Raw genomic sequence first — 14,038 nt, forward strand, 5'->3', positions numbered from 1 at the left:
TCTTTAATCAATTTTTATTTAATTTTTCTACTTGGAATGTGATAAAGATTCAACTTTACTGGTTTAAATGTGGACTTGTTTTCCCAGCATTTCTTGTGTAACAAACTGTCTTTACATAATGATTAAGACACACTTTTAAAAAGACAAACAATAATTTATGAAAGGGTTTTTTGGAGTATCTATTTTATTTATTTGATCTCCACAATTGTTCTTATGCCACTATCAAACTGTTATAATTTTAGTAGCTTTTTATGTTTTCAAATTTAAAATTGTGAGCCACCTAATTTTGTCCTTCTTTTCAAGATTATTCTGTACATTCAGAGGATGTTCAAATTCCATATGAAGTTTTAAATGAGCTATTTTCTTTTTGCAGAAGAAAAGTTGGAAAAATGAAAACTTGGGATTACAGTACATCTGTACACTCCTTTGGGCAGTGGTATTGTCATCTTAACTTCATTAAATCTTCCGGTTCAGGAACATGGAATTTGTTGCCAGTTATTTAAGTCCTTTTTAGTTTTTTTCATAAACATTCTGATCCTGTATTTTTTATTGTACAAGATATTTACCTCCTTATTAAATTTATTGCTAAGAATTATATTATTTTAATGTTGTTGCGAACAATTGTTTTCTTAATTTACTGTCAAATTGTTAATTGTATATGGAAATGCAGTTTATGTTTCTGTGTTGTAAAAATAATTATTTCATGTCTCAAATCTAGATTAGCAATTCATTCAGAATAAATATGCTGTATATATTACTAGTCATTTAACTTTTTCCAATAAGCTAACCAATTTCAATATGTCTAAATATGTAAAAATGTTAAATTGTGTTAGATTTTTCACTTACTCTCACCTGTCATTTATCTGTCAGAATTACATTACTGCGCACTAGAACTTTCATTTCTGGGGCCGGGCACGGAGGCTCATGCCTATATTCCTAGCACTTTGTGAGGCCAAGGCAGGCGGACCACCTGAGATCAGGAGTTCGAGACCTGTCTGGCCAATATGGTAAAACCCCGCCTCTACTAAAAATACAAAAATAAGCTGAGCGTGGTCTTGGGAGACTGTATTCCCAGCTACTTTGGAGGCTGACACTGGAGAATCACTTGAACAATCCCACGACACAAAACAACCGAGGTTAGTCTTCATGTCGAAAGTCTTCAATGGATTGTCTTTTATCACAGGATTGCTTAGTGCAACATTTAATGGGAAAGATGCATGCTACTGAGATGTAGTTCTCCACAAGTCTCTTAGAGTTTGTTGTTTTGTTGTGGATTACATCACATACCTGTCCTGTTCCACGTTATTTTTCAAAGATTTTTGTACACAAATAACCTGGAAAAAGGGTAGTAGTTTTTCTCTTCAGGTGAATGGCAGATAAATTACTCAATCAATATAATAAAGACAATTTTTCTTTGTGACGCAAAGGTTGGACAGGCTTCCATGTAACCTACTTTAAAAAGATTGAGGTTTCTTAGTCTTGAGTCTGCTCAGCTATGACACAAATCTTCCCCATGTACAATGTCCATATGAGCCTTTTGAAATCCTTCAAAAAACGTAGTATGGACAAGGAGAACTAATACAAATATGAGGCTTTTGCCTCCAGGTAAGCAGTAAATAGTAGGTATTTTTTTTCATACTTCAGTGTCTCATGCCTTCTACCAGCATCGATGAAAATGGAAGGTTAATATGTTGTTTACAAATGCTATAAAATCTTAGATACGTCACAATTATTTAATTTTGGAGATGACTATGGCATGCTGAGATAAACACAACTTTCTGAAAGGGGAAAAGGAACAAATACTTGAAGAGCTTGCAAGGGATATGAGAAGTTCCCCCAGGACCAACAGCAAATTCTCTCGGCCAAGTGGTTAGTTTGGTGAAGCAAGAGATCAAGACTCTGCTGTCTGCTAATGAGACTGATCCTTGAGAGGATTATAACAATGAACCTGAGAGCTTTGCATGTTCACTTTTCTCCTGCTGGAAAATCAAGGAGCTCTTAAAGCTAATGTTGAGGTTTGGATGAGTCCAAAACAGTAGAAGTTCATGTGGTTCAGCTGTGAGCAGCAAAAAGACTGCAAAAAGCCACATTAAGCAGGTTTTGTAAGTCTCTCCTTTACCCACATGAAGGAACCCATTCCCTCTGCACTTCTAATTTTTGTCCTTTGTCTACAGCTAACTTCAGCAACTTTAAATATTAAACTACATACGATTGGAGGTTTGGATGGGGGAACACAAATGTATGTAGTTCCTTTGGATATATGTATCTAATTCACCATTCTGTGGAGTCCCTTAGGGTGCACAGGGAGATATAGGTGTTAGGGTGGCTGGAAATGCTGACAAACCTATCATTCTATTAATCCAGTTGCTTCCAGATAATGGAAAGCATGGTAAGTCCACTGACATCCGTGAAGATGAGCACACTGCTACACTTTGGCTGTGAAGTGAGTTTCTTGGTCTGAGCAATGCTAAGTGGAATATCATAGGGATGGATGAGGGATTCTGTGAGTCCATGGAGGGTAGTTTTGGCAGAATTCCACCCAGGGAAAGCAAATTTGTATCCATAGTAAGAGCCTACTCCAGTGAGTACAAACTGTTGCCGCCTATATTATAAAAGTTATTCAACGTAATAAATTTACTACCAGGTGCCTGGTGGATCACCCTGGAAATGATGTCATATCAAAGACTCAGTGTAGATCTGTGCTGCTGTCAAATTAAACATTCAGAATTGACTGTAGCCAGACTGGCCTTTGGGATTCAAAGTTCATATTGCTTAGCCCGTGCATTGCTTCTATTTCTGCTACTATGTTCACCTTGTTTATAAGCCCATTGGGTGATGATGGGGGTGACAGGGAAGTAAGAATGACCCATACTCACGGAACAAGACATTCTGTCCACATCATTATCAAAATCATGCTCTGATACGGTTACCCCTTAGTAGGGATTCATATAGAACAGACATATCTTTATGTAATTTACCCAGTGAGAGAAGTTTATCCACAAAAGTTTTTCTATTTTTTTTTTTTGCCAGGAATTTTGTAATCATGTTCCTTCCGTGTCATTGGTCATGTAGCCAATTCATGGGCCACAGCAGTGTTGCAGGAGTGAGTATCATAGGATCTCAAACTCCTGTTCTTAAGCAATCCTTGCCTCAACCTCTTAAGTAGCTGAGACTATAGGTGCACCCCACAACGCCTAACTAATTTTGTTTTATTTTTAGTAGAGATTAGATTTTGCTATGTTTTCCAGGCTGTTCTCACACTCCCCACCTCAAGCGATTCTCCCAGCTTTGCCTGCAAAGTGCTTTGACTAGAGTCAAACCTCCACACCCAGCACCTATAATTTGATATTTTAAACAATACTATGTAGCGAAAGCAATTACGAAGTTATCTAGGGAAAGAAAGCTCACTATCACAGTGTAAAATTGTATAGATATGATGCGGGCATGTGTGTATACATGCTTGCTTGTGTGCATAGGTGCGTGTTTTCTGAGAAATGGTACCTTATTGCTACCAGGCTAGGATAGCATTCATGTTCTTCTGAAGATGTCAAATATTGAAGCTCCAGGATTCATAGAACAAGATTCCTAAGTGGTTCACGAGAGGGTGAACGATTGAGTAATGGGTATTTTGGAAGAAACAACTGGCCTAGGGACAAGAATAAGTGTGCAAATCATCTGTGTGAAACACGCTTTCTTCGGAGCACGCATTTCATGCACTTCATTCTACTGTGACAGATATTGCTACTCTGAGTTTGGGAGAGATTGAACCTAGGGTCTACTGTGAAACTCTGTAGACTAGACTTCTGTCTGAGGCAGCCCCTGCCTGTAACCGTAACCTGCGCCAAACTCCAATGGAGCATTCTTCTCAATGGATAAATGGAAATTCCGGATGATCCGATGGGCAGAGAGTGCGACTGTTTTTTTCAGGAGCTCTGGTTGAATGGTTTTGGGGACTTTCTGGGAGGATGCTCTGCACCCAGAAAAGTAGTCCAACGGGAATCATGAGAAAATGGGCGACTCCGTGTGCCTCCGTCCCCTCCTACTTCCTCACCCACCCCTCCATCAGGGATCCCACGTATTCCAGGATGACACGTGTTTTAGTTGTCTTTGGGCGACAACTAGCGGCAACCGTTATTGAAAATGTAAGCTGTAGAGAACAAAAAAACTCTGGTCGCCTGTTCACAGCTCACTCACTGCAACGTTGAATCCTGGGCTTAAGCAATCCTCCTGCCTCAGCTTCCTGAGTAGCTGGAAATATAGGCATGTGCCACAATGCTGGGCAATATTTTTAAGTAGTGGTAATCTCTCTCGATGTGTTGCCCAGGTTAGTCTCAAACTCCTGTCCTCTATCCAGCCTCCCACCTTGGTCTTCAGAAGTCCTGGGATTACAGGCTTGAGCCACTGTGCTCACTCCTATAATTTGATGTTTTCAACAATACTATGTAGTGAAATGCATCACGAAGACATTTTGCAAAAGAAAGCTCACTATCACATATAAAGTTGTATACTTGTCATGTGCTTACGTGAGCGCATGTTCTTGCCTGTCTGAATGTTTTCTGAGAACTGATCATCTTTTCCCCAGGGACACTGGTTGAAGAGCTGCGGGGATTGTCTGGGAGGGTGTCTCGGGCCCGGAAACGTAATCCAGGAGAGATCAGAAGACCGGCGACCCCATGGGCCTCCATCTCTTTCTCCTTCCTTGACAACCCCTAAACCAGTGACCCCACTCATTCCAGGCTGGAACGTCGTTCGGTTGTCATTTGGCGTCACCTAGCGGTCACTGTTATTGAAAATGGAGGCATCACACCAAAACTTCTGGCCGCCCGCGCACAGCCAGGGAAAACTGGTTTCTCTCGGGCCCCACCCTGACCTCAGAGGCACTCCTTCTGTCCCTCCCCCTATGCCTTGTTGCCTAGGAAACCTCCACCCTGGCTGGGAATGCTTATTTCTTTATTTATTTAGAGACAGAGACAGTTTCGCTCTTGTAGCCCAGGTTGAAGTTCAATGGCGCCATCTCGGCTCACTGCAACCTCTGCCTCCTGGATTCAAGCGATTCTCCTGCCTCAGCCTCCCCACTAGCTGGTATTACATGTGCCTGCCTCTACTCCCAGCAAATTTTTGTATTTTTAGTAGGGACGTCATTTCGCCATGTTGGCCAGTCTGTTCTCGAAGTCCTGACTTCAGATGATCCACCCACCTCAGCCTCTTAAAGTGCTGAGTTTACAGAAATAAGCCAGGGCGCCTAGGCTATCATTTGTTTTTCTTTCTTCCTTTTTTTTTTTTTTTTTTTTTTTTAGTAAGCATGAACAGTTCTACCTGGGTTTTAAAAATTGTGTGTGTGAAAGAAAAATAAATCTTGAGGCTTCCAAATCACTAAAGTAAAGGGAAAAGTCAAGCTGGCAACTGTTTAGGGCCAACCTGCCATTCTATTCAAAGTCACTCCTCTGCTCTTTTCTCTTTTTTTTTTTCTTTTTTGAGATGGAGTCTCGCTCAGATGCTCAAGCTGGAGCCCAGTGGAGCAATCTCGGCTCACTGCAACATTCGCCTCCTGGTTTCAAGCGATAAATGTATATTTGATTGCCTCCTTTGGAGAGGCTAATTAGAAACTCCAAAGAATGCAACCATTTGTCTCTTAACTACCTTTGACCAGGAAGTCCCCTCCTCACTTTCAGTCTTCCCGCGTTTGCTAATTTGTCCCGCCTTTGCAGACCGAACCAATGTTCATCTTGCATACTTTGATTGATGTCTCATGTCTCCCTAGAATGTATAAAACGATAATGTTCTCTGTTTACCTTAGGCACATGTCCTCAGAACCTCCTGAGGCTGTCACGGGTATGCGTCCTGAACCTTGGTTACGTAAACTTTCTAAATTAACTGAGACCTCTCTCAAGTTTTCAGGGTTCACAACGGAAAGTGCATTGTAGCTCCACCCTAGGGCTTACCATTAAGAAAAACTATCCTAAATCTCTGCAGATACAGTCAAACCGGTTGTATGTAAACTGTATGAAACTAAATGCACTTATTACAAGTAAATGAATAAATGCTGAGAAAAAAAATCATGAACCGCTCACCTTTCAAAGAAGCAATAATACTATGAATTATGTGTAATTTCCAGAGTCAGCTAGTTTCAAAATTGTCCCCACTAAACTTGGAAAGGTTCCAGAGTGAGCTATTGTGTCTCCAGCCTTTGCTCCTCCCCCTTCTTTCCCCTGCGCCCTCCCCTCAACCTTTGCCGGCAATCACATTCTCTGATTCTGCAAAAGCAGGTGGGAGCCCTAGAGAGAGTTCTCGTTTTTTTTTTTTTTTTTTTTCTTTTTTGAGATGGAGTCTCGCTTAGAGGCTCAGGATGGAGCCCAATGGAGCAATCTCGGCTCACTGCAACATCCGCTTCCTGGTTTCAGGCGATTCTACTGCCTCAGCCTACCGAGGAGCTGGGTTAACAGGCACCCGTTATTATGCCCAGCTAATTTTTGTATTTTCATAGAGACAGGGTTTAACCATGTTGGCCACGCTGGACTCGAACTCCTGCCATCAGGTGATCCGTCAGCCTCAGCCTTTCAATGTGCCGGGATTACAGGCGTGAGCCACTGTGGCCAGCGAGTTCTCTTTTCTTTGTGAAGGGCAAGGCAAAGTGGAATGGATTCATCTAAAAGCGGAGTGCATGCCCTGGAAAACATCATGGTTAGACCCATGTGAGACAGGTTAGTTTTACTGCGTGTGTTCTCCATGTGTTGTTGCCCATGTGTTGCTACCATGGTAATCCTGCTGAGTATGAGAGGAATCAAAGTTTCACACATTTGGTGTATGTGCTTGACTGAGGAACCAATGGGGTGAAGCTACCATCTGTGGGATTATGACTGAACGCCTCTAAATCAGAATCCCGCCCAGAAGAAAGGATGCAGCAGCGCTGGCAAGACTCGGTTGGCCTCAGATAGCCAGTCCCCAGCCTTTGCCACCGGCCGGACGCTCCGCCCCGCTGTGCGCCAAGACCTTGCTCCGGTCTTATCATCCTAAAAAATGGGGTGCGGCCCCCCATCCTAAAAAACGGGGTGCGGCCAGAAAGGCGTTTGCTCCCTGGCCCGTCACATAACATGCTTATGGGGAATCTGATACTAAACTATTGGTAAACGCCCTGCTTCTGGGTCAGGGTTTCCTATGGAGCAGAGCAACTCCCTCACTGCAACCTATTGAAAGTCAGCCCTCCACACAAGGGGCTCTCAACCAGTGTGCGGGAAAACTAGCGTTGTGGCGTGTCCTGTATAATTCAGCCCTGGACCTCTACCTTCCTTCTTTCCTCCTTTTGCCCCCGGGGACTTAGTTCCCGGGCCTGCTCAGGCCCCCCGCCCCGGAGCCCCAGGGCATGCAGGGCTGTCTCTCGCGAGATAACATTGGCGTCGGCCGTGCATTTGGGAGGGGTCGTTCCCCAACAGCAGGCTTTCCAAGATGCAGCGCTGGGGGTTGCGAGGTAGGGTTGGCGCCCCTGCTCGATGTTCCACCTCTCTGATTGAGCTTCTTTCTCCCATCCCGCTGGGAATTCCTCCACGAGTTGGGACCGGATTCTTCGAGCCTCGTGCGAATGGCTGAGGCGCGGGTGTCAGAGGTTTTGCCCCTGCAGTCCCTGCCTGAGTAGTGTTCGCGCGATGCCCGTGGGTGGCTGTTGGGGTCACAGTCCCTCTCCCCGCCTCAGGGGTGCTGGGATGAAAGACTAGCTAGTCACTACCCTTGTGTCTTTACTCCTCTTCTCTGTCCGGGTCAACCAGCGGACTGCGGGGAAATGGCTGGCAGGTCTGCCAAGTTAGACGGCCTCAAACCTGGGCCGGTTCTGTGTGATAAGGTTCCAACTGCGTCTGATCGCTTCCCTCCGCGAGCACCACATTTGGTCTTTAGGGTGGACCCTGTCGATTAGATGCTGGCCTTTGGCTTCCCGATCAGCCCGCGAATCAGCCGACTGCGGGAAGCAAGCAACATCCAGTTGACACGGCCGCGGGCTTCTCTGTCTGGAAGACCTGGGACCAGGGCCTAAGGCCCCAGTCCTCAGGTCTCTGGTCGCCGTGCCCACCTGATGTCCGCGGCAAGCGTTGGACTTGACCGTCAACTTGGGATTTCTAAGGTAGACCAGATAACTTTGGTCAGCAGCAGTACCGCCCGCATTCACTAGGTGTCGCTTTTTCCTTGCGTTGTTTCTTCCTCTCCAACTGTTTCCACAGTACTTTCAGTTTCTCTTCGTTTTGTTTTTCTTTTATTTTTCTTGCTCCTCTTTCTACACACTGAAGTTGCTGTTGTTTTACATTTACCTTTTATTTATTTGTAGTTTTTGAGGCAGGTTGGAGTGTAAGAATGCAATCTCGGCTTACAGCCGCCTCGACTTTCCAGGACTCCCTCAGGTGATCTTCCTATCTCAGCCTTCCAAGTGGCTGAGACTACAGGAATCACTTAATTCTGTGATGTCGAAGCTGAAGTGAGCCGTGATGATGCCTTGCCCTCCAGTCTGAGTGTTTCAGAAGGTAAGAGAGACAGGTTAAAGAAAAAAATTCCTTGAAATAAACTGCAATTAACTGTGATCTAAATTACCTTTTATAGTTTTTCACTCCCACGAGTTTGTTTATTATTATTGCTGCTTATTATTTCTTTGTATTATTGTTTGTCATTATTGTTATTGTTTTTATTATTTATGTAATTATTTAGAGATGGAGTCTTCCTCTATCACCCAGAGTGCAGTGCAGTGGCGCGACTTTGGGTCACTGCAGCTTCAAATGCCTGGGTTCAAATTCGCAATATGGCGAAACACCCTGTTTACTAAAATCTGTCAATGACACCTTCAGGACCGTTGGTTGTGGCGGCTGCAATTTCGGAGGCTGAGGAGGGCAGTTCGCTAGAGCTCGGGAGTTCAAGACAGCCTCGGAAACAGACTGCAGAGCATTTGTCTGACCAAGACCCGCTGCAGCCTCCACCTCCCGACCCCAAGCGATGTTCTCAACTCAGGCTCCAAAGGATCTGGGACCACAGGCGCCTGCCATCATAATGCCCGGATTTTTTTCTTTTCTTTTCTTTTTCAGTAGAGACGGGGTCTCACTGTGTTGCCAGGGCTGGTCTCAAAGTCCTAGGCTCTAGCAATTCTTCCAACTCAGCCTCCCAAAGTGCTGGGATTATAGGTGTGAGCCACAATGCCCTGCCCTCTTTTTTATTTCCTTCATTTTTTCTCTTTTTTTCTTTCTCTTTCTTTCTGTCTTTTCTTTTTCTTCTCTCTTTTTCTTCCTCCCTTTTTTCTCTCATTTCTCATTCTTTTTTTTTCTGTTTCTATGTCTTTTGGTTTTCTTTTTCATCTTTCTTCCCTTTACATCTCTGTCTGTCTATTTTCTTTTTCTTGATCTTCCTTACTCTCTCTCTCTTTTCTTCATTTCTTTCTTTCCATCCCTCTGTCTGTCTGTCTTTGTGTGGATTTTGGAAAATTCTCCTTATTCTGTATCTCCCTGTGTATCACAAGCCTCTGTGACTTTCACTTTGTTGTTTTTCCTCCTTGTCGCGTAAAAGGCATTCACTGCTCTTTTATTTTGATGCTCTGTGGATGTTCGAAGGGTGGGGAAAAAGTGGTCCACGAATGTGATTGGTTTCATGAGAGACACGAGAGACAAAAGAACATATGATGATTACTTCGCTAAATGCCCTGTTTATTCTTTCAACTGCACTCATACAAGTAAGGACGCAGTTGGTGGGTTGAGAGATCTCTGTGTAGTCATGACTCTGCAATTATACTTGACGAGAGCGGTGATGATGAACGGGCGGCATGGAAACCTGCCCTTCTTTGGTGTCAGTTGAGCACAGTGAGAAGAGATTCACAATGGCCTGTATCTCAACCTGATGGTACTGTGTTTCTGCTCTGATCTTTAGGAATGAGAGAAGCATTCCCGTGCATTCCTGCAACGTCCTTGAAGTTTTCTTTTTAAACTTTTCGATTAACTAACGTATTTATTAATTTATTTGAGATGGAGTCTTGTTCTGTTGGTCAGGCCATGGCGCAGTATCGGGCCACTGCAACCTCCGCCTCCCAGGTTCCAGCGATTCTCTTGCCTTAGCCTCTCGAGTAGCTGGGATAACAGGCACGTGCCACCATACCCAGCTAACTTTTACCTTTTTAGTAAAGACAGGGTTTTCCCATGTTGCCCAGGCTGGTCTTGAACTCCAACTTCCAGGAATCCTGTGGCCTCGTCCTCCCAAAGTGCTGGGAGATCCCAGGTCATCAGACTCGAGAAAGAATGTTGGTTGATATAGAAAGGCGAGACACACTGCGCCCGACCCAAATTGCTATTTTTAAAAATAAACCAGTAGGCTGGGTGCAGTGGGCCACTCCTCTCATCTCAGCAGTTTGCTAGGCGGATGTGGGAGGATTACGAGGTCAGGAGTTTGAGACCAGCCTGGCCAACATAGTCAAACTCTGTCTGTATGAAGAATACAAAAATTAACCAGGTGTGGTGTCACACACCTCTACTCCCAGCTACTCTATATGCTGAGGTAGTAGAATCTGTTGAAGCCGGGAGATGGAGATTGCAGTCAGCCCAGATCATGCCACTGGACTCCAGCTTGGGTGACAGAGTCAGATTCCATCTAAAAAAAAAAAAAGTAATTAAAAATAAGTGAGTTTCCAAGAAGAAATAGAAACCCGCAGTGACACAAACATATGCATCTCACCTTTCGAGGCAGCAATGACACTACAAACTTGTAAACTCAGTTCATTTCTTGACTGCGGACCATGGGTATTTGTGATGCTTCCTCTTGGAACATAGTTCTGTGTGACACCATACCCAGCTAACATTTGCCTTTTTAGTAGTCAGAATTTTGCTATATTGCCCAGACTGCTCTTGAACTCATGAACTCCAGGTATCCGCCCGCCCAAAAAAAAGAGTTGTGATGAAAGGAGACACACAGATGGATTTCAGCCCTTAAAATGGTGCATGCTGCCACATTTCACAGATCTTCCCTGGGCCTTACTGGTATTTGCCCAACATAGAAATGCTTTCTAAAAAGTGACAATTTGCTTACATAATATTTCCACAAGCGATGCCTTGGTCTGTGTTTGTTTTTACGTTTTGTTTTGTTTGTAGTTTTTACTTTACTTATCTCTTTTCAGTTGAAGTAGATTTTACCAATTTTAGGAAGATGTGTATTTTCCCCAAAACCTGTTAGCTGGTGTTTTCTTCGGTCATTAAGTAGCGATTTTCGGAATCTCTCAAGGTACAGTGAGAGCCGATTGGTATAAACTATACTTCATAAAATCTTCTTTCCTTTTCATTTTTTTTTTTTTTTTTTTGTCTTTCAGGTGGAGTTTCGCTCTTATTGCCCAGGCTGGAGTTCAGTGGCGTGACCTCAGCTCACCGCAACCTCTGCCGCCTGTGTTCAAGAGATTTTCCAGTCTTCACCCTTTCGAGTAGCTGAAACCACAGGCAAACACCTCCAGGCCTGGCTAATTTTTTTTTTTTCATAGAGACTAGGTAGCTCCATAATGGTCAGGCTGGTCTAGAACACCCAACCTGAGGCGTACCACCCAACTTGACCACCCAAAGTGCTGAGATTAAAGGCGTGAGCTCCGCGTCTGGCCATAACATCTTATCCTATAGAAGCCCAGAGAGGTTAGGTATGTAGTCCCTGAGACCAGCCTTCCTTGGATGAACTCCAAAGTGATGGCTGAGGATTAGGGAGTGTGGGGTGGGGGCTGGAAAGTCGGTCCCCTATTGTTGCTACCTAGGCCATGACATCCCCAGACTCCCATCGCCTGCTCACCGTTTGAGATTCCCCCCCACCACCGCCTTGGTGGCTGAACTCTTACTTTAATTTCTGTCTTTCTTCGTTTGTTGGGTTTCAGGAGGGGGTGCAGGAAAGACGGTGTGCGTGGGGAGGGGGTGTAGGGTGGGGATGGAGGGGAGCGTCCTAAGGGTCGATGTAGTGTCATGCCTCTTTCATCACCACCACCGAAGATGAAACAATAATCATCTAAATACCGCGTGTTCTCACACATAAGTGGGAACTACATAATGAGAATGCATGCGAAGAACTAGGGGGACGAGAGACGCAGGAGCCTACCTGAGGGAGGACGTGTGGAAGGACAGACAGCTTCAGGACAAAGCAAAACGAGCAGAACACAAAAACTGTAGGGGACTGCGCTGAGAATCCGGGTGAGGAAATCATCGGCACACTGAACCCCCTACTCAGAAGTTTACCTATGAAACAATCTTGCACATGTATGCTTCAAAAACAAATAACAGTTAGGGAAGAAAGAGAGAGAGAGAGAAAGAGAGAGAGACAAGTAAAATAAAGCACCACCTCCTTGACCTGACTCAGGGCGTTTGGGGTCTTCTGGGGAAATGTTCTGAAACAATGGAGTATTTTGGTCTGTTCTTTCTTGTGTCTTTTTTTTTTTTTTTAAGACGGACTCTCGCTCAGCCACCCAGGCTGGAATGCAGTGGTGCACTGGGTTCACTGCAGCAAATATCTCCCGGGTTGAAGCGATTCTCCAGTCTCATCCTCCTGAGTGGCCGGGATTACAGTCACGCGCCATAATGCCCTGCTAATTTTTGAACATTAGTAGAGAAGGGGTATTGCCATGCTTGCGACGCTGGACTTGAAGGCAAAATGAAAATGAAAATGAAACGCAACAAAATAATTAAAAGTGAGTTTCTGGGGAAAAAGAAGAAAAGAAAAAAGAAAAAAACAACAAAACAGAACAACCCCACCGTGACGTACACATACGCCTCTCGCCTTTCGAGGCCTCAAACACGTTAGGAATTATGCGTGATTTCTTTTTTTAACTTCATTTTATGTTATTATCGTGATTGATGTTTCGAGACGGAGTCTCGGAGGCCCGCCCTCCCTGGTTGCCCAGACAACCCCGGGAGACAGACCCTGGCTGGGCCCGATTGTTCTTCTCCTTGGTCAGGGGTTTCCTTGTCTTTCTTCGTGTCTTTAACCCGCGTGGACTCTTCCGCTCGGGTTTGACAGATGGCAGCTCCACTTTAGGCCTTGTTGTTGTTGGGGACTTTCCTGATTCTCCCCAGATGTAGTGAAAGCAGGTAGATTTGCCTTGCCTGGCCTTGCCTGGCCTTGCCTTTTCTTTCTTTCTTTCTTTCTTTATTACTTTCTCTTTTTCTTCTTCTTCTTCTTCTTTTTTTTGAGACAGAGTTTCACTCTTGTTGCCCAGGCTAGAGGGCAATGGCGCGATCTCGGCTCACCGCACCCTCCGCCTCCCAGGTTCAAGCGATTCTCCTGCCTCAGCCTCCTGATTAGCTGGGATTACAGGCATGGGCCACCGTGCCTGGCTGATGTTTGTACTTTTAGTAGAGACGGTGTTTTTCCATGTTGGTCAGGCTGGTCTCCCACTCCCAACCTCAGGTGGTCCGCCTGCCTTAGCCTCCCAAAGTGCTGGGATGACAGGCGTGAGCCACCGCGCCCAGCCTCTCTCTCTCTCTCTCTCTCTCTCTCTCTCTCGCTCGCTTGCTTGCTTGCTTTCGTGCTTTCTTCCTTTCCCGTTTTCTTTCTTTCTTTCTTTCTTTCGTTTCTTTCATGCTTGCTTTCTTGCTTGCTTGCTTGCTTTCGTGCTTTCTTGCTTTCCTGTTTTCTTTCTTTCTTTCTTTCTTTTGTTTCTTTCTTGCTTGCTTTCTTGCTTGCTTGCTTGCTTTCGTGCTTTCTTGCTTTCCTGTTTTCTTTCTTTCTTTCTTTCTTTTCTTTCTTTCTTGCTTGCTTTCCTGCTTGCTTGCTTTCGTGCTTTCTTGTTTTCTCGATTTCTTTCTTTCTTTTGTTTCTTTCCTGCTTGCTTTCTTGCTTGCTTGCTTTCGTGCTTTCTTGCTTTCCTGTTTTCTTTCTTTCTTTCTTTCTTTTGTTTCTTTCTTGCTTGCTTTCTTGCTTGCTTGCTTTCGTGCTTTCTTGTTTTCTCGATTTCTTTCTTTCTTTTGTTTCTTTCCTGCTTGCTTTCTTGCTTGATTGCTTTCGTGCTTTCTTGCTTTCTTGTTTTCTTTCTTTCTTTTGTTTCTTTCTTTCTTGCTTCCTTGTT

At 44.4% G+C, this 14,038-nt stretch overlaps 1 long non-coding RNA gene across 3 annotated transcripts; it reads left to right on the plus strand.

Annotated features, from left to right (window-relative positions):
* The first annotated feature begins 6,314 nt into the window (after positions 1 to 6,314).
* On the plus strand, positions 6,315 to 12,656 carry LOC124904993 (uncharacterized). 3 transcript variants are annotated; one of them, XR_007067805.1, is made up of 4 exons: positions 7,388 to 7,465; positions 8,312 to 8,504; positions 11,315 to 12,167; positions 12,420 to 12,656. It is a non-coding gene; the product is annotated as an uncharacterized LOC124904993 (long non-coding RNA). The 3 variants fall into 3 exon arrangements; XR_007067804.1 differs by having other exon boundaries at positions 6,315 to 8,504; XR_007067803.1 differs by having other exon boundaries at positions 6,330 to 8,504; positions 11,315 to 11,629.
* The last annotated feature ends 1,382 nt before the right edge of the window (positions 12,657 to 14,038 follow it).

This window comes from Homo sapiens, chromosome 21 (assembly GCF_000001405.40).
Source record: "Homo sapiens chromosome 21, GRCh38.p14 Primary Assembly".
In the NCBI taxonomy this organism is placed as follows: Eukaryota; Metazoa; Chordata; class Mammalia; order Primates; family Hominidae; genus Homo; species Homo sapiens.